The 19947-nt window shown below is 45.1% G+C and overlaps 1 protein-coding gene across 11 annotated transcripts in view; it reads left to right on the forward strand.

Moving 5' to 3' along the window:
• Positions 1-19947, forward strand: part of INSC (INSC spindle orientation adaptor protein) — a 158261-nt gene that overhangs the window by 30104 nt on the left and 108210 nt on the right. For 6 of the 11 annotated variants that reach the window (NM_001031853.5, XM_017017698.2, XM_017017697.2 and 3 more), the window contains one exon: positions 7611-7711. In NM_001031853.5, the coding sequence (NP_001027024.3) occupies positions 7611-7711 (101 nt within the window). Of the gene's footprint in view, positions 1-6373; positions 6427-7582; positions 7712-19947 lie in introns of those variants that run through there. The other 5 variants (NM_001278314.2, NM_001278315.2, NM_001278313.2 and 2 more) reach the window with 2 other exon arrangements.

Below are 19947 nucleotides of genomic sequence, written 5' to 3' on the forward strand. Positions count from 1 at the left end.
TGAGGGGCTATTGGGGCTTCCTCCAGGGAGCTAGAGCTGTCTATATTTCATGAGGCTCAGTTCATTCAGCAGGGCTGAGTGGCAGCTTGCTTGGTTTCTTGTGCCTCCCCTGGGAACGAGGGGTGTTAAAGTATCTGATTGCTGCAGGATGCCAGCCACCACAGCTAGCAATAGCTCCAATGACTATTGCCACCCTTGCACAGGTCACATAGAGGTCCAGAGTAGGGTGGGGAGGGATATATGTTGTGATTACCTCCTAGAGCTCTTTGCAGTCCTTCTTTCCACTCCTGGGTTCCTACCTCTCCACCCCTAGGGCTTTAGTGCTCTGACTGAAAGCTTGCACCTGCCTCTTAAATTAATCCTTGTTGCTGGTCTTACTTTCTGGAGTTCATCCACTCCACTGGTTACCATGAGGACTGAAATTCCACTCTGATCATTTCACTCCCCTGCTCAAACACCTTTGATGGCTCCCTATCACCAACAGGACAGAGACTAAATAATCAGTTCCTTTCACAGTCAGGGCTATAGAAGCACCTTCCCTCCAGCCTCCTGAGAGAGATCTGGGTCCCTGAATACTTGCTCCATTTTCTGGTTTCCTCGCTATGGCTCACACTGCTCTTGGCACTGAATGCCCTTGTCCCATCTTCCCCTGGCAAAATCCCTCCCTCCATTTGAGGGCCAGCTCAGGTGTCACCTTCTCTAAGGTGAAGAAGTCTTCTGTATTTCCCTAGCTGAAAGTGACCACTCCTTTTTCTGCATTCCCGTGCTACTGAGATAGTTTCCTATAAACTCCACCACCAGGCCAGAGTGCTCCAGCCTTCTTGAAACACTTGCAGTTCCCTAATCTCACCATGCTCATGATTCTGTGTCAAATGCTCTTCCTTGTGCCCTGCACGCTCTTCCTTTTAGCCTCCTTTCCATCCTCTGCTTTTTCTACATTATTCTTTCAAGTTTCAGTGTTGCAGTGATGCCCTGAGAAACTTCCCATGACCCCTTCTCACCACCTTCCATTCTGATCTGGTACTGCTTAGAAGCTTGTTTGTCCCGCTTCGGGGGAGGGTGACATTCCCTTGGTTACCTGTCATTGCAGTTTTTGCACAGCAGTGTGACTGTCCACTGATCCGTCTGTCTGTCCTATGGGAGAACTTGATGAACACAGAGCTGGGAGTGGAGAGGGAGGCTGCCTAGCTGGGTACGACCACGCAGTGAGGACTGCAAGAACTCAGGAGGGACATGCAGCTTTGTCTCAGTGGATATTAGGATGCAGAGCACTTTCTTTTTTTTTTTGTTTTTTTGTATATATATTTTTATTATACTTTAAGTTCTAGCGTACATGTGCACAAAGGTTTGTTACATATGTATACATGTGCCATGTTGGTGTAGAGCGCTTTCAACGCACAGTGCATATGGTATGCAAAGGCTCCTCCTTCCCACCGTGAGTATTCATCTTACTGAATACTCATCACGGCATGCTGAAATAGTTACCATTGTCTCCAGTTTATCTGTGAGGAAGCTGAGCTTCCTTCCACAAGAACCCATCCAGTCAGTGAGCAAGTGTCTATTGATATTATGCACAAGCCTATGTCAGGCACGGGGGGTATGGCAGTGAGTGGCACATTCCTCTAGTCCCTGCTCCCCACCTTCGGGGGAGAAAGACATTAAGCTCTTATTAAGCCCCTAATGTTACAGTTAATTATTTAATTACAATTGTGATAAAGTCTATGGAGGAGAAATACCGAGGGGACTAGGGAATCTTATAATGAAGGACATGACTGAATCCATGGGTCAGGGAAGCTGCCCTGAGGAAGTGGCATTTGTTCTGAGCTCTCACCAAGGAATAACTTGGTGAGAGGAGACAGAGGAGAGGTTGTTGGGGTCAGAGGAAGGAGTACTATGAAGGTGTTTGGCAGGGGGAGGCGTGGCTTGCTGCAGGGATGAACAGCAGCTGGCGTGGCTGCAAGGCTGAAGGACAAGAAGGGTGGTCAGACAGGGACAAGATCCATGTGAGGCAAGTAGGCCATGGCAGGGTTTGGTCTTTGTCTTAGTAGCAACAGGAAGCCATTGAAGGATTTTAAACAGTGAGTTGATGTGATTAGATTTGTGCTTGAGATCACCCTGGTGGTTGTGTGGGGAACAATTTAGAGAGGGGCATGGCTGGAAAGGGGCAAGTGATGAAAGGAAGCCCTTGCAGAGGTCCAAGTGAGAGATGCCAATGCCTTTGACCAGGGAGGCAGTCATGAATGAAAAAAATATGATGAGGGAAAGGGATGTATCCAGGATAAGTCTCAGGCAAGACATCCAGATCTAGCCTCTGGGCTCTAAATCCTGTGCATTTTGCATAGACTGGGGAAGTCAAATTGAAAAAAAGCCTACAATGTAGTCCCATTTTAAGGTGTAATCTGCATGCCAGGTACAGAGGAACTTGATTCTTCTGCAGGTACCACAAGGCCTCAGAAAGAAATCTCCTTTCAGTCTCAAGCTCCTAGTCCTGTGCACCTGATTGGTGAATCCTAGATCATGTGCTTCTGCTCTGTGTGCCTGATTGGTGGCACCTAAGTCATGTGTTTTACTCTTGCTGCAAAGGATTCTGGGAAACAAGTGCCTGGCTTTTTAAGTTTCTATGTTGGGAGGCAGGTTTCCACTTCACTAAGACTCTTAAGCAAAGGGATATTTCTCAAATGTAGGAAATGGGTTCATATGTTAGAGGCCAGAAAGAAAGATGAATGTTTACCCATGGATTATCTTGGTGCTCACAACAATCTTGTGAGGTTGTCTATTTTTGCCCCATTTTACTGATGGGAAACAGATATGGAAACACTGGAAAAGGCCTGATTTCTTCCCCAGTAAAGCAGTGCTCTCTAAGGGCCTTTTCAGCTCCAAATGTAGAGATTCATAATGATGGGCTGACAGGACAGCTCTGTTGCTTCCAGCTCTTGCACTTTCTGAAGTCTTTGAGAAAGAGCCATATCTGTCTGGTGCTGTCCAACTCCTCTTCAACTCCCAGCAGCCTCCTCCCTGTTCCTAGAGCTGCCGCCAAAGCTTGACTACTTTCCACAATACTTACTGTCCCCTGTCCCTTCCATGTTGACAGCCCTAATATTGACAGCCCTAATGGGATTGCAGATTAAGCAATCCCAGACATGCTTGGAGCTGTACCTGGATTGGCCCATTAGACAATGGCAGAAACCACCTTTGCTCCTGATTTTAATTGAATAATTTACTGTAAATAGCCTCCATTTCCTCCACAAACCCTGTGTCGTTAGCCAAATGGAGGTGAGCAAAGGCTGCTTCTAATGGGATGTGGGCGCAGAGATGAGCTGTCCAAACGGAGCTGTTGTCACAGCAAACATTGAATTAAATCAGAGACACTTAAGACTTCAAGTCTTTCTTGTAAACTAGTCACTTCTGGTGGGAGCTACATAGCCCAGAGCCCTGAAGAAACAAGGCTGCAGGATCCATGGTGGGATTTTCAGTGAATTAGGAAAGGCCCTGGGATAGGTGATGGAGGGATTTCTTCTTCCCTGCTCACTCCTACATGTGTCCTTTTCACCTCTCTTCCTGGGAAAAGCAGCAACTCTGCTCTGAGATGTATTTCTTAACTCTTCCTTCCAACAGGAAGGGTACTTCTTCTTGGAGACTGCTATATACCAAGCACAATATCTGGGACTTTTGCAAGTAATCTCATTTAATCCTCATGATGCTCCTGGGAAGTAGGTATAATTGAGGAAACCACATTTTCCGTGGGTTGGCAATTTTCCCAAGGTTATGTACTTATCAGGTCAGGATCTGTACAAGTCAGGGTTTGAATTTATCAGATTCCAAAGTTCATGTTCTTTTTGCAACACCAGTGAGGACACAGCACAGGACCAAGGGCTTGTCTTGAACTCAGTTTTGGTTTCCTAACATTCTGTGTAGCTTTGGAAGGGGTTTATTCTTCAAGTCTGCTCAACAGGATGAGTCTGACTTAGGGCTATGGGAGTCGGTGGGTGCAAGGGCTTCAGACTGAAGATGGAACTTTGCAGTAGGAGCTTCCCTGAGGATAGCATGCTTTAAACAGGTCTCTTTGCAGCTTTAACTGGGACTATGATCTCCCCTCCCCTGATCCCTTTAGGGCCTATCTCTGTCCATATGACTTTCACAAAACTGCCAATAAATGAGGAACAAAAGAGAAATGTCCCCATTGTCAAGCCACCCTTCCTCATTCCATATGACTGCAGTGTTTGCTTTTCTTCCTGAGGGCTGTGTCACTGAGGGCTGGCACTAGGTGAAGCTGGAAGATTTACAGTCAAGGAAGTGGGAGCAGTAGGCAGTGCTGGTGAGAGGGAAGAGTGCTGGGCTGTCTGAGAAGGGCCTCCTGGGGTTGGGTGTTGCCATTCGGGAATGGAGTCAGGGTGTCTGTTAGCAAAGGCTGAACACAGGCTCTTATCTTCATCTGCTCCAGCACCTCCCCTTCAATCATCAAACCTGGATTCTAGTCCTCTGCCACCTACTAACCAGTGCTTCCCACTGAATTTAAGAGGTCTCATCTGTAACAGAGGATGATGATGGCATTAAACGAACTAATACTATATGAAGCATTTAGAACAGTGCCTGGCACATAACACATGCTCAGTAAATATTAGCTGTAATTATTATTGTTACAGACACTTTCTAAACATCAGGTGGGCTAAACAAGTATTTCCTATCTCGCCTTCCAGATATTCTTCCTCATCCCTAGTGAAAATGAGCTGTGATTCCTCTGAGAGGTAATCTGATTCACAACCCAGACTCTTGACCATGCAGGTCTTTGGGTCAGGACTGTTCCTAATCCCACATTCAGCAAGATTTGGCTTTAGACATTAAGGAATCTTATCCTTTTGGGGCAAAGAGGCAGCCAATAATGACATAGTCTGTGAATAGGGCAGTGATGCATATGCAATCAGATGTCCTTAGGGTGCCTCCCCAGCCTCTGGGAACACAAGAGATCACATGAAGCAAGGTTTTGTGAGCTGGCAGCTCCCCCTGCATAACTGCTGGGAAGCTATGGGTCAAAAAGATGAATGATGGCACCTCACTGGGGTGCTTTAAAAAATCAAGATATATTAGGCTTATTGCAGTTTCCTCAGCTAACAGCCCAGAGGCTCCTGAAGGAAAAGAAGTCGATTGTTTTGCCTTGTTCCTGCTGTGTTCTAGCTGGCTTCTTGTGCTCACTGCTTCTTTCTGAAGGGTTCACAGGTCGGTGATCCAGAATAGGCTATTGAATGTACAGTCACAGAGCTGTATTTCCGGAATCTGCCTCTTAGAAATTCAGAACAATTTCTTGCATTCAGGCTTCTGCTTATGACAACTCTTTTTTTTTCTCTCTGGATCCCTCAGAGATGACTTGAATCAGAGTCAGAGTTTCCTCTAATACTCTATGGTATGCATGCTTCACCTCATCCTACAGTTTCCTCTTGGTTCAAACTTCAAATGGCCCTGGAATTTTCTTAGTATTTTCCTGTCTCCTCTCCTACCTTAGACTCTAATCCCCACTTCAATATTTTTACTTTGCCTCTTTTCTTCTCAATGATGAAGATGTTGAAGTAAAACAAAATCTACTTGCTCCCTGCCATCTAATCACATCTTAGTTTTACCCTGAGAAGTTGGTGTTTTCCTTTTTTGTACTTTAGTCAAACATATCAAAAGGGAGCAAACGCCTCATTTTATTGTTCCTAGTTTTTCTTTTGCGCCATCCCTTTCAGCCTACTGGCTCACCAGATTCCAAAAATATACCTTCTCAATAATGACAGTAATGATGGAAATAACGATGGTGATAACATGCTTGTTGAGCCTCTCGCTGTGCTAAGTGTGTGACCTGCTGTATCTCATTTTCTGCATCTCCCTTAGCATAGCTGACCAGAGAGCTGAGCACATAGCAGACTCATAGGACATAACAATAATAACAGCTAACTATTTATTTAGCTCTTACGTTGGCCATATTCTTCCACGTTCCTAATCTCATGTCATCCTTATACTAGCTCTTTAAAATAGATATTATTATCCTCAGTTACAGATGAAGAGATGGGGCTCAACATCAATGTGTTAAAAATTTATCCCTCTTATTCTTTCAACAGACGTGTAGAGTGCAGGCTATGTGCCTGGCCCTTGGCTCAGTTCCAGAAACACATGTGGTGTCTACCCTCAAGAAGCTCACAGTCTAGTAAGCTCCACAGACCAAGAAACAGGCAACGGCAGCAAGTCTCTGGAATTATCTAGCACCCTAGTTTATTCTGGGCTCCTGCCTCCCCACACTTTTCAGACTGACCATTTTCTTCTTTCTTCCCAGCATTATGAGGAGTGCTTTGTGTTCACCCACATCACTATTAAAGTGCTCCTCCTCCATTCTTTTCTATAGGGCTCCCGTGTAATCATGGAGTAAGACTCTTCTGTTGATGTGCCCAGGCAAAGGTGACAGAATCTGCATATTCCTCAGGGAGGGCTTATTCATGGGCTTGGGGGAGTTGGCAGAGAGAGAGAAATGAAAAAGAGAGATTGTGTACAAAAAGGCCTCCAGGAGCACAGCAGGGACAAGGCGAGGGAGAAAAATACAAACAGGTGGGTAGCTGGTTTGGGTTTAAATGTGAGGCACAGGGAAGCCAGTTGCATCCTCAGTGCTGGGATTGGGAGTCCCTGGAACCTGGGTTACTCTTATTCATTAGGATGCTTTTGGCTGTGTAGAATAAAAACCCTCACTCAGACTGACTTAAACGACAAGAGCTTTTATTTTCTTAGATAATAGGAAGCCTAGAGCTGGGCCAGACTCCAGCATTAGTTGATTCAGTGGCTTAGTGATCAAGGACCCAGCATTTTTTTCTTGGTATGCTAACTTTGTTCTCCAGCTAGTGCTGCTCGTGATTGCAAGATGGTCTGTAGCAACAGTGAGGTGAATATGCTCCCTTGTTCGGGTCCAACAGGAGACATACTGCCTCATCTTGCAACTCTCTGTTGGGAGAAAGAACGCTTTTCCTAGAAGCAATCCTGTCATGGCTCATTGGCCTAAATTGAGCCACATGCCTATTTCTGAACCAATCACTGGCAATTTGGGTGCAATTACATCATCTGAAGTGGAATGGATTTGGGAAAGCAACCACTATGCCGATAACAGGGTCACATTTTCCAGGACACACTTAAGCATAATCACAGTGAATAAGCGAGTTCTACAGTGGTAACAGCCAGGGAATTAGAATGTAGAATTGCCAGTTTTAGCAAGTAATACAGGATGCCCAGTTAAATGTGAATCTCAGATAAACCATAGATACTTTTTAGTACAAGTATGTCCTGTGCAATACGTATGGGCTGTGTGTCCCAATATTTGATACATACCAAAATAAGTCAGGCAAATATTTGGCAATTGGAATAAGAAAATATTTTAGAGATATAAAGTGGGCTAGGGACTTAGAAACAAGATCAAATCTGGGTTCTGCCTTACTTGTGTGAGGATACTGGAGTGTAAACTGGTTCAACAGAAGAAGAGGGCTAAGAAGTCTTACCTCTTTGTCTGCTTTGGTTCCTTGTGGCCTGGGACTGGGAGAGAAAGTGATTGTGCCTCCTCTTTTAGGATCTCGTTGTGCCATCCTGCCCTCTATTTTCAGGGTCACGACCGCTGCAAGCAGGCTTTGCTGCAGATTGGGATCAACATGATGGCACTGCCTGGAGGTCGCCACCTGGACTCCGTCACCCTGCCGGGTCAGCGGTAAGTCCTACAGCTGTCACTCCAGGCCAGGCCTGCCCCATCTGAACCGTGACTGAGGCCCAGTTCCAGCATCCTGAGGCTGCAGGTGACCCCATCTTCCCACGCAATTTTCTGGGGAGGATGCCGAGCATAAGGTATTGGGGATGTCATGTTCACTCAGCAAATATTAATGGAACTGGGCCCTGGGACACTGAAGAATCAGGCATATCCCAGTCCCTAATGAGCTGAAGTCTAATGCTGAGGCTGACCATGAAACAAAGAATCGAATGGGTGTGCTAGTAACATAGAAGATGTCATAGAAGGTGACAACCTAGAAGGTGTCATTCTACCCTTGGATGTCTTCTCTTTTGCCCAGAGCATCAAGGAGAAAACTGAGCATAGAGCTGATCCTTGGGAAGTACTTGTTGTCCTGAGTTGGGCAATGAGGGAGGGTGGGAAAGGCACATACTGAGAAGAAGGGGAAGCCCGGATAACGAGGGGAGAGGGGCTGGAGAACATCCTGTCTGAAGAAGGAGACACTTGGGGCCACCAGAGGTGCCTCCACACAGCTGGAAGATGTGGTAAGGCAGGTACAGGTTTGATGTGGCTGGTCCTGGAGCCTGAACCCTCTCTCTCTCCCACTTGCAACCTCTTCAGAAGTCTTAAGGTCACAAGAAATTAAATTACATGAAAACGATTTAGGAATCAAATTATTAGGAGGCAAGGCATGATTTCTAACTGATCTTGCACAGCAAATCAATTGGGAGGAAGACTCCAGACTGACTTAACATCAGGAATTATGGCTGGCCATAAAAGATGTAGCTTGTGAAATCTTTTTTTCACAATGTCTTCATCCTCACAGTTCTGATAGGGTGAGGTGAGCAACAGAGAGAGGGTGGTATTTCCTTTAATACGTTCAAAGCCTAGCATTGCCAGGCCTAGCCAGAACACTGAGGGAATAGAATCCCTGGATCTAGCAGCCTGTTAATTGTGTATGTACTAGGGGCTTATGCATGGTCCACATACACAGAGAAGGCGCATGTGTAGTTACAGGATGTCAGAAGTGTTAATTTGCCTATGATGCAATCTGAAGCAGCATGATAGGCAGATAGTAGCAGCCATGTCTTCTTTCCTCCTGTTCCAAGCTGCCAAGGCCTCTCTTGTGGGGAATAACACCATGGTTATTGTCTCCAGATAAATAATTCATGCTGGATAATTGACTTCTTTCTGTTGTGTTCCACTGAAACTGAATTTCATTTTGCAGTGCCATTGTTCACCTCAGTGCACAAAAATAAATAAACAAGTACTGCCATGTTGCATGGAAGCATCCAGCAGCCTGGGTAAATCATATGGGTGAGGCCATTGGTATTTGAGACCCTTGTGAATAAATAGCAGCACAAAGGGCTGTTCTAGGTGCAGATTCCTAGGCGAGAGTAGAGGTCAGGAGCAACAGCCTCCTAGGCCAGGGGTTGGGATCCCTTGCTGAACTGGCATGATTGACAGGAAGTGGTCTGACAGGGTGTGGTGGTTCTCAGCTCTGTATCTGAGTCTCCTGGGATGCTTTCATATTTAAAAACAATAAAATAAGCAAAAGAACAAAACTCTACTCTTGGAATCTCTTATGTGGGGCTAAGTGGTTGAAAGCATGTAGACCTTGGAATCAGACTTGGGTTCAAAGCCCAGTTCACTTCCTACCAGCTCTGTGACCTTGAGTGGCTGTTTAAGCTGTCTATGCACCTGTTTTTTCTTCAACATAGTGGCAGTGACAGCTGCTTTAAAGGGTAGTAGAAGTGCTTGGGTCCAGGAGAGAAGGTCTCTCTAGAGCCTGAGGGTGCTTTGCAGTACACAAGCTTCACTTTCCCAGGTCATAGAAATCAGTGGTCCCAACTCCTGGTCCTTAGCCTGTTAGGAACTGGGCCCCCACACAGCAGGAGGTGAGTGGCCGGCAAGAGCAAGCATTACTGCCTGAGCTCCGTCTCCTGTCAGATCAGAGGCGGCAGTAGATTCTCATAGGAGCGCGAACCCTACTGTGAACTGCTTGCGTGAGGGATTTAGGTTGTATGTTCCTTATGGGAATGTAATACCCACCACCCACAGCCTCCCTGCATGGAAAAATTGTCTTCCACTAAACCAGTCCCTGGTGCCAAAGGTCCCTGGTGCCAACAAGGTTAGGGACTGCTGGTATAAATAACAGTAATAATCTCTCTCCCTCCCACCAGGTAGTGAAAACGATACAATCTCTGGTCTGAGTACCTCCCTGGGGGGTGGTCAAAGATTTACTGGTGGAAGTGAAGGGGGTCAGAGACGAGCTTCCTGGATAGCAGGAGACTGTGGCTGCTATGTCCCTGGCTGGTCTTCATTTGCTCCTCTGGCCTCCTATCTTTCCATCTGGGATGCTGATCTTCTTGTTGGTTCTGGGCATGGTGGTGGTGCTGCTGGAACATAGCCATGGTGGTCAGCATGTCGGGCCCAGGCTTTACACTCCCAGGGTTGTGCCCTCCACCATCACAGCCTGGCCTTCATATTCTGCCAAGATCCAGATGACCTAGTCCTTTGGTTTAACTTTCTTTATGGGAAGGCTTCTGGGGTGTAAGCTGGAGCCCAGGGTCCACACAGGGCTGGGTCCAGATGTCCCCTTCCTTCCCCACTTCCTTCTATAACTTACCTAGCCCACAAATCATCTATGGCATTTAGAATTTTTCTCTCCGAATCCCTGCCAGTGAAGAGTCAGGGTGGCAATACTGATTAATAGGCAGGCCTTTGCAAACCCCCACAACAAAGTTGGCTTATGGTTTCAAGTACTTGTTATGGGATGGATACTCCACACAGCTATTCATTTAGTCTTCACTATGACCCATGTGTATAATTATTATTATCTATATTTTGCAAACAAGAGGTCATAGGTTGAGTTATATGGGAACAGCCTTTTAGGTGGGGTTTAGAGTTCAGAGTGGTTTTTAGTGACCATCTTTAGGATCAATGCCTGTGGAAGGGGGAGGAAGGAAGCAGGACTGGCTGGAAGGTGAAGTTGAGCTGCAAAACCTGGCTCAGTGATGTCAACTGATCTTGTAGGAAGATTTGGAATCAGTGTTGTTGTCCATTGGCCAAAATGTCCAGGGCCTTCATGTCCCACCTTGATCTGTCATTGGAGTGTGTTAGAAAATATTTTAAACAGGGAAGCCATTAGGCTGGGGCTGCTCCAACACTTTAGGTTTCTACATAGCAAACTGAAGCCCAACATCAACAGTAAAATGAAACTAGAAACTTTACTGATCAGAAGTCAACTAACCTTTAACTAGGATCTTTCCCCTTTAATCATTATATGCATTTTCCTTGTTTTCCTTTTGTGTTCAGCCCATAAAAGCTTGTCGTCCATGCTGCTTCAGAGGAACTCTCCAGCCTCTTCTGGCTCTGAGTGCTGCCTGATTCATGAATTGTTTTTTGCTTAAATAAACTCTGTTAAATTTATTTTGTCTAAAACTTTTAGACATCTTTAGGAAGGATGTGTTCTTAGGTGAGGTGGCTCTGAGAACATCTGGAGGGCCTGAAAGCTGAAGGCTGTTGGCTAATGATACTCCCAGCAGCTGGGACAATAAATCCTGCCAAAAAGAGGAATCTCGGTACCACATCACAATGTCTATCTCATGAGAGAACTGAGCCTTGAGGAGGTGAAGTTACTTGCTCAAGAACAGAGCTGACAGGTAGAGAGCTAGGATACGTGTTTCTATATGGTGCTTAAACCTGAGTGCTGGGTAGTACTCTAACCAGTCTCTGTCTTTTCCATAAACAAATCATTTACTCATTTATGCAGGTAGTTGTTTATTCATTAGCTTTCAACAAAGTTCTTCTATAAATATTTATGGAGTGCGGGCCATCTGCCTTGTATGGTGCCGTGTACTTGAGGACATGTTGGTGACCTAGTTGGTGACCTAGTTTCCTGCCCTCATGGAACTCAGTTATTATTCAGTAACTTCTCTTTTGGCCTGATCAGGCCTGGATTTGTAGCAAGTATACAGTTTGGGGCTTTCATCTGTGACTTCTCCCTGTGAGTGAAACACTTTTTCACATGGTTTCCATTCAGCTTGGAGTATGAGATGAGCCTGGACTGGATGCAGCTGCAGCTTGTGGCAGGCAACCTCCTGGTTGCCCATGGCTAGCTGGGGAGATAACCAGCTTCCCTGAGCCAGTGGGGGCCATTGCAGGCCAGCTTGTCTCCATGTAGATAATGGCTTGCATATGTGCACCTCTGTTCTGTGGCCAGTTTTCTGCTGCTGGGACATTTTCTATGCTTGTGGTGAGATGTGCAGACTGTAATTGTGAATGGGATAATTGGATATTTTTCTGTTGTTTAAGCTGAAAAGAAGGCCAATCAAAGCTAGACTTGAATTCCATCCTTTCTCCCATTTCCAAAGAGAAATCCACAGAAACATAGGGTGTGACCCTGAGAAGGCAGAGGGACAATGATTCAATAGTTATTTTTAAGAAGAGAGGCTGGATTTATACTTTTGTACAGTGCTGGGAACCGAGTTCATAGAGGCATTGGATATTGTTGCTAGAGTTTCCCCAGAGTTCATCTATGCCATCCCTTCATTATAAGATGGGGAAACTGAGGCCCGGAGAGGGGAATGTAACTGTCACAATACTCTTCAGGCTGCTTTCCCACCTTTTGGAGTCTTGCCTCCCCTGGGTTGTGTTTCTTAAATTAATGCTGTCACTCAGCCTTCAGTAAATCTTAGAAGCTCTGTGTCCCCACTTTAGTGGAGTTCTCACATAGCAATTATTTGTAATAGAGAAATCAATTTCATTCATTCATTTGAATGAGATTTACTTTGGACCAAGAACTTACTTTGAGCCAAGCCTGGGGTAGGCCAATAACAATTTATGTATATGTCATCTTTTCTGCTCAAGGATAAATGTTCTAAGGGCCTAAGGGCTAAATTCATATTTGGTTCATATTTATGCTCCTGACTATGATAAAATGCACACAGTAGGATCTCAATAAGTGATTGTTGAGTAAATAAATGTTTAATAGCTGTTTGATAAATGAATGATGAACTCTTGGCTAGGGAGTTTCAGGTGATGGTGAGAAATTAAATTAAGTAGCTTGGATTGTGTTTTATTCTCTAAGACACTCTTCTGTCTCCAGCAAGCTATTCTCATTTTTTTAGTATAAAATTGCTGTTTGGAGGGAAAGGGTAAGCCAGAGATTTATCCTGATTAATTTAAATACGCCCTTTGAGTGGGAGCCAAAGATTTAATTGGTTGAAGGAGTCAGAGAGTTGAAGAGGCTTTGTTTCCTTCTAATGAAGAATAATTAAGAAGTATTTTTAGTCTTTGCAGTTAAGTTCACTGGAAAAAAGTTTGCAATCTCATCATCAAATCCCCTGCAGGAGAGCACAGTGCAGTGGGGAGCATGGATTAGGAGCCAGGGGCCAGACTTCCACTGATATTCTGTGTGTTCTTGGACAATTTTTCTCTCTCTCTGAGCCTTAGTTTCTTCATCTGAGGATGAGGAGGTAGACAAAAGTATCCCCAGGGACCCTTCCAGCTTTAACATTCTAAGTCTGTGAATAAGTTTTGAATGCTTTTGTCCCTTTTTTTTTGGACAAAAATAACCCATGTTAGTGCCACAGGGATAGGAAAGCAAACCCATTGACTAAAACAAGTTCTTCCCATTCTTTCCTGTGAAATGTGCAAAGGGGTCTTGTGTTTGCCTTGTGGCTGGGATGGACATTTCAAGGCATAGTAGTTTGGGAGTCCTCTTAGGATCTAAAATGTGCCCTGTTCAGGTTTTATAGAAGCCCCTTGGTATAGCCAGGAGAAGTATTCTATGGTGGGGTTGTGGGGTGGCCTAGGGTGCCCTGCCTTGATGGAATATAATGCAGATAAACACATGGATCCTAGCATTCTAACATTCTGCAAAATTTGAGCCAGTCATTTTCAACTTTACCTCCACCCCTCTGGCTACACTTAGCAACTTGCCATTTTCCCAACACATGAGTCCATGGTTCTACTCCTTTGCACATGGTGTTTCTTCTGTTTGAAACTCTATCCTCTTCCAATACTAACTCTTTTCCTGGGAAACTTGAGGGCATCCTTTAAAGACTAGCCTGGAAAACCTACTGAGATATTCTGGCTTGGGTTACATATCTCTTCTCTGTGCTCTGCTAACCCTCTGTGTTAACTTCAAAATGCCATTTGCAGCACAGTGATCCATAATGGTTTGTTTACAATTATTTAGTAAATCTTTATAGAGTGCCTATGAAGTACTGGGTGCTGTTGTAGGTAGAGGGAGTATGTCACTGTGCAATAAACGATCCTGCCCTCATGCGGACCATATTCTCACATCTCTCCTCCGTAATCCTAGCACACAGGCCCAGTGCCTGGCCCATTTGGGGTGCTTAGTACGTTTTGGAGGTCACTTCCAAGTGTTTCAGGTATAGTAAATTGTTCCTTTACAGAGAACTCCCCACTTCACACAGAAGGTAGACTAAAGTAAGGCAGAGAAATCCAAATTCCAGAATTTGAAGACTTTTAAAGTTCCATTCTAAATGAAAAGAAATTAAAATGAGCCAAGAAAAGAATAGGCATAGATTTCCACAAACTATTCACCCTAGAGTTTTGGGGACACTGGACACCAGATCAGCAGGATAAGCTGGGAATAAGGAACTGGTACCAGTAGATGGAGGCCAGGTACAGATCTTCTGAGCTGGGAAAATTGTTCTCTTTGGCCTCTGAGGGGTCAGGCACAGTGACCTTCTCCAAGTGGTAGGCTTTGGGGAATGAAGGAGGCGGTCCACAAGGCAAGGGCAGAGGCAGGGCAAGGCCACTGAGGGAATGAGGAGACCTCTAGGCAGTCAGGGTCCCATGAGGATATCTCCCCACTGTATCACTACTTACATGGTCTTCTGGGCTTCCCTGCTGCTGCTACAAATCCATCAGAGGTCTGTGATGTTGAGGCCAGGGTCAGAAGTTCTGTCCTGAATGTTGAAAACATGCACCCCAATTTTCCTCAGAAAGAAACCAGACAAGGGTTTGAAAAAAGACCAGACACTCCATCGTCTTTATATGATCATAAACTATAAAAAGGCAACTGTATGTCACCTAAGGGCAGTCTTGCATAGCAGAAAGAGCTCCAGCTTTGGATTTGAGGGTTTCAGTATTAGCTAAATTGCTGAAAACCATCAAAGAGCACAGCATAATAATTAAGAACAAGGCTCTGGTCTCACATTGCCTGGATTTTTGTTTCCACTTATTCATTGTGTGATGTTGGCCAAGTCACCCAGCCTACCAAATCTCAGTTCTGGGAATCTCATAGGATTGTTTTGAGGGTTAATTAAGCCATTAAGATTGAATCAAGCATTTAGCACACTGCCGAGAATGTAATAAGTACCCAATCAATTTTAGCTTTATTGCCACTATTAACAATGAGGTCTTAGACAAGTTATGTAATGCCGCTAGGCCTCAGTTTCTCCATCTGTAGAATGGGGATGGCAATCTCCAATCATCAAACCACAGTGAGGCCTGGAGCAGAAGGTTCTTGGTACATCGAAGATGCACTATAGGTGGCAATCCTCCCTTTTTGTTATGTGGGTTAATTCCTTCTGACTTTGGAATACCCCTGAGGAAATATAGTAGGAAGAACACTGTTTCATACTGCAATTTCTTGGTATGAGACTTTGCTACTCCCTTCTCCCACCCCAATTCCACCCTGGATAATTCCAGCTTAGAAAAAACTTACCTGGCCTATAACCTGGTATGTGGAGATGATTGTAGTTGCATTTTGCTTTGTGTTTGAGTCTGCCAGACTTCAGAAAGCCCAAATTTTAGGACTTGGTCCCCTCATTCCAGATGTTCAGGACAGCCTCCATCAGAATGCAATGAAAAGGGCTACTTGAGGAATAGGCAACTTCTGGGAACTGGGTAGGACTCCTGGGAGCCACGTTCACTGTCTTGGATGCCCTTCTTGCTCTCCAGGCAAGGGGACAATCTTAATAGCATCAACTTCAGATTTCAGTTCACTGTGGAGACTAAGGAAATCAAACCCAAGTCCTGGCCCCTGGCCTCTCCAGCTCCTTGGCCAGGGACCTTACAAGCTCCTGACTCTGGTGGTTTTCCACCATGAAGGGAATGTGACTCATTGCCAGTCCATCTGCCTTTACCTCAATTTTCAATTCCCGTCCTCTGTGTGAGTAATAGGATCAGTTGTTCGTACTTGCAAAGGAAGGATTTCATGCATGGTGAGATGGCAGCTCGAAGTTTATGGCTGAGGACAATTGACCCACTGGGAGTTGGAAGGGGCAGGGGCAGCAGGCAGCCCCCACCACACAGCCAGAACTGCTCTGTGTAATCAGACTTTTCATAGTGGGGTCAAGCAGCAAATCCAGTAGGAGAGGTGGAGCCCAGAGAGTCAGCGAGCTAATGACAGAGAGTCAGGCAAGCTATGCAATTATGGGATGTTCAGCACTAACACAGTCCAAACCTTAATGAGCCACAGTCCCTAGACTCCCAAAATTGAGAAGGGCACTTATTATGTGGCGGCACCGTGACTGTGGCTGGTATTAGATGGGCTTGTGGTGGGGCCATGTGGGATTCACCAGGTCCAGTCTCCTTCCTGAGAAAGCTGGGGCCCCCTTCGATGGGCCCCTCTGCAAGGCCTGACCCCCACTTCTGCTGTGGCCCTGTGCTCTCCACTTGTCAGAGGCCACACCCTGTAATCAAACCAAATGAAAACAGTTCCTCCCTGGATGTGTTTCCTATCTCAGCGAGGGCAGCAGCTTCAGGAGAAACCAGGGGAGTCAACTTCGATTCTTTCCTTTTCTTCACACTCATATCCTATCCTGTCCCTCCCAGATCTTCCTATCCCATGCCATTGCCTTAGTTCAGGCTTCTGTCTTTCTTCTCTTTCTGTTTTATAACTATCATTTCCCAACAGGCTACTCTCCTGCCTAGGATTTAACCTGGCTGTGATTAATTTTTTACTGATTCTTTGCACAATTGTTGTCACTTCCCTGCTCTAAAATGCTTTTCGTGGCTCCAAGTTGTCTTTGGGATTAAATCTACATCCCTGATCATGGCATTCGAGATCTTTGATCAACTAGTCCCTGTTTCTCTCTTCAGACCCGTTCCTGGCCCCACCCTCAGAGGCCCCTGATGTTATAGTCTAGTGAAACTTCTTGCCATATGACTTTTTGACCATATGCCTCTGGGCCTTTGTACATGGTGTCTCCCCTATGTGGAAGTCTTTTTGCCTTTGTCATCCTGGCAACTCCTCTCCTCTAAGAACTAGGGCAAATGTCACTTCCTTTGTGTAAATATTCCCAGGCGAAGTCAGGCCCTCTGTCTTCTGTGATCGTAGTCTATCCTGCTCACATCTTCTTGGTAGTGTGGTGTTTAGGTGATAGAAGCTGAGACTCTGAACTCTAGAGGCCTGGGTTTGAGTAATGGCTCCATTATTTACTCACCATGTGACCTCTCCAAACAAAAGTCTCCTCATCTGTAAACGGGGGTAATAATACTACTTCCCTCACATGGCTGTGGGCAGGCTTAAAGGAGATAATATATAGAGAGGGCTTGGACACTGCCTGACTCCTTGCTGGAACTCAACACTTCAACTGCTCTTATAATTATAACCAGATGAATTGTTGGTGGTTTTTTTTTTTTTTTTTTTTTGCCTGTTTGGGTCTTGGCTGAGCTCTATGAAGGCTGGAATTTTCTCCTGTTCAACTTTGTAGCCTCAGCTCCTAGAACAGGGCTTGTTCTGAGCAGGCCCATGGAGAACACCAGGAGACTAGGTCTCCAGGCCTGGCCCCAGTGTGCACTGGCTGTAGGACTTGAGACAGGCAACTTCTCCTGGCCTCTTGCACCTGGGGGCCCGTTTGGAGGGCAGAGCTGCCAGTGCAGCCCCAGGTGAAGGATCTTTTGTCCCTGGGTCTGCCTACAACTGAAAATAGAGAATCCTCCTTAGGAGCCTGAGGCTTGGGAGTGGAGCCAGGGCATGGTGGAGGCAAGGTACCCAAGTGATGGCTGGAGGCTGATGGAGAGTTCTGGAGCCTTGTAGATGGTGGAGAGACTGGCTCTTGGAAACCCTCTAGTGGTGATTTCTATACCCTCACCTGCATTTCACAGAAGCATGCAGAGGTATCAGGATGGTAATGGGCACATTACGTCTGTGAATTATCCTAAATGTCCACTTTGGCAAATGAAAATATTCTCTTTAAAGTAGGGAGAAGAACAGAATAGAAAAAACAAAGCTAAACCATTTGTAGTCTATACATCAAATCCCATGTTACTGCCATGAAAATTCATGACAAACAATGGGAATAGCTGGATGTGTGTGTAAGAATGCATTTAAAATTTTTACCTGACAGTACTGCACATGACATTGGAACAGAGCACAGCCTAAAGCAGTTTAACATAACACTTAAGAACATACAGTCTAGACACTGATGAGCTGGGTTCAGAGCCAAACTTTGCCACTTGTGATCTGTGTGATCTCAGATATGTTATTTGGCCTTGCTAAGCTTCAGTTTCCTCATCTGTAAAAGTAAAATCATAAGAGTACCCTCCTCACAGGGTCATTGTGAGAATCAACTGAGATAATACATGTGAATCAATCCACATGATAATTGGCATAGGGCCCGTCCTCAATTAGTGCTATTATAATGATTATGGATTTTATCCCCCTGACCCTCACAACCCGATGAGACAGGACAGCAGCATAGGTTATTATTATTCCCACTTGAAAAATGTTTAAATGTAATTAAGTTCCATACATATACACCAGCTGCATCATTGGTGTGTCAGGTCCATTGCCTTGCAGATACTGTAGCATGTAGCATGGTGGCTTGTAGGTAGGACAAGACAGACACAAGATCTGCCCTGCATCATCTAGGGGGTAAGGCAGACATTTAAAAGTTGTTAAACAATTGAGACCAGTATAGATCAGAGGAGAGACAGAGTGCTTACAGACGTGTGGGGCACATGGGACATAAATTTGTTGAGGAGTCACAAAGGACTCCTTCAGAAGAGAGATCAAGGTCAAGACCTCAATGATGTGTAGAAGCCAGCAAGGTGAAGAGGAAGTGGGAGAGAGGGACCAGCATGTGCAAAGCCTGGGAGGCTGGAAGTCACAGTAGCAGGACTGAAATAACTCAGGGCTGGGACAATGGTTGGAAATAAGGGGGCAATGACCAGATCAGGAAACTGAGGCTCAGAGATGACAAGTGTCATGTGTAGGGGCACACAGCTATCAAGAGGAGGGAGTGGGAGGAGGGCACAGGTGATGGCTCCTAATCAGGTGTTCTTGTGGCTTATATCACCATAATGACTCTCATGCTGGCAATACAGATACACACACATACCATTTTTAGAGGTTAAAAAATAAGTCATTCATGAGTTAATGAAAGATCATAGAGTGTTAACAATGTCTTCTCTCAATCAGAGGGCATCTACAATGCTGGAGTTTGACAGTTAACAAGATGGGGCTCTGAGTCATTGAAGAGAAGGCAGCTGTCAGATGTACACATTGGCTCATAAGAGTGAAAACAGTTACCTGGAGCTAAATTCATGTTCCTTGGCTTTCTGAAACCGAAATAACAACAAGTTCCATTAGGGTGCTGGACAAACTGCAGAGGTGGTGAGAGCACAGACTTTGGAGTCAGGCACTGGACTGAAATCTGGCACTGTCAGAAACCTCTTTGAGCCTCAGTTTCTCCTCCTCTGTAAGATGAGGGTAATAAATAGCATTTTACTGAATACTAGTTAGATATTGTATGTGCAAGTTCTTGATAAGTGCCTGCTATGCAGAAGGTACTCAAGAGATAGTTTCTTTCATAGTGTGCTTGGAACTATGCTACATTAAAAATAATTTGTTAGAGTAGTCAAATCTCTTCTTTGCCCTCAAACCCTTCTACCAATTGAGAGAGGGCCACTGCCTGGAGAAATGGATGTGATAAAGTGTTGGCAGTGCCATAATCCATGCCCATGCCACAAATTACTCTCAGTATTAGCTTCAAGGTGGGTTGGTGGGTCTCATTTTGCCTCCCCCAGGACCCCTGGAGTTATACCATAGGATTTACTCTCTTACTATATTATACTGAACAGTTTGATTAACAAAAAATGATATAGAACACGTCAGAAAATGATATGGAACACCAAATGTTAAGTGAATAGGATGAAGAGTGAAAATGGAGATTTCTGAGTAATGTTGATCTGAAAACTTTTTCTGCTGCTACAGCTTGGAGCAGAGGACTAGT

This window comes from Homo sapiens, chromosome 11, assembly GCF_000001405.40.
Source record: "Homo sapiens chromosome 11, GRCh38.p14 Primary Assembly".
NCBI classification, from domain to species: domain Eukaryota; kingdom Metazoa; phylum Chordata; class Mammalia; order Primates; family Hominidae; genus Homo; species Homo sapiens.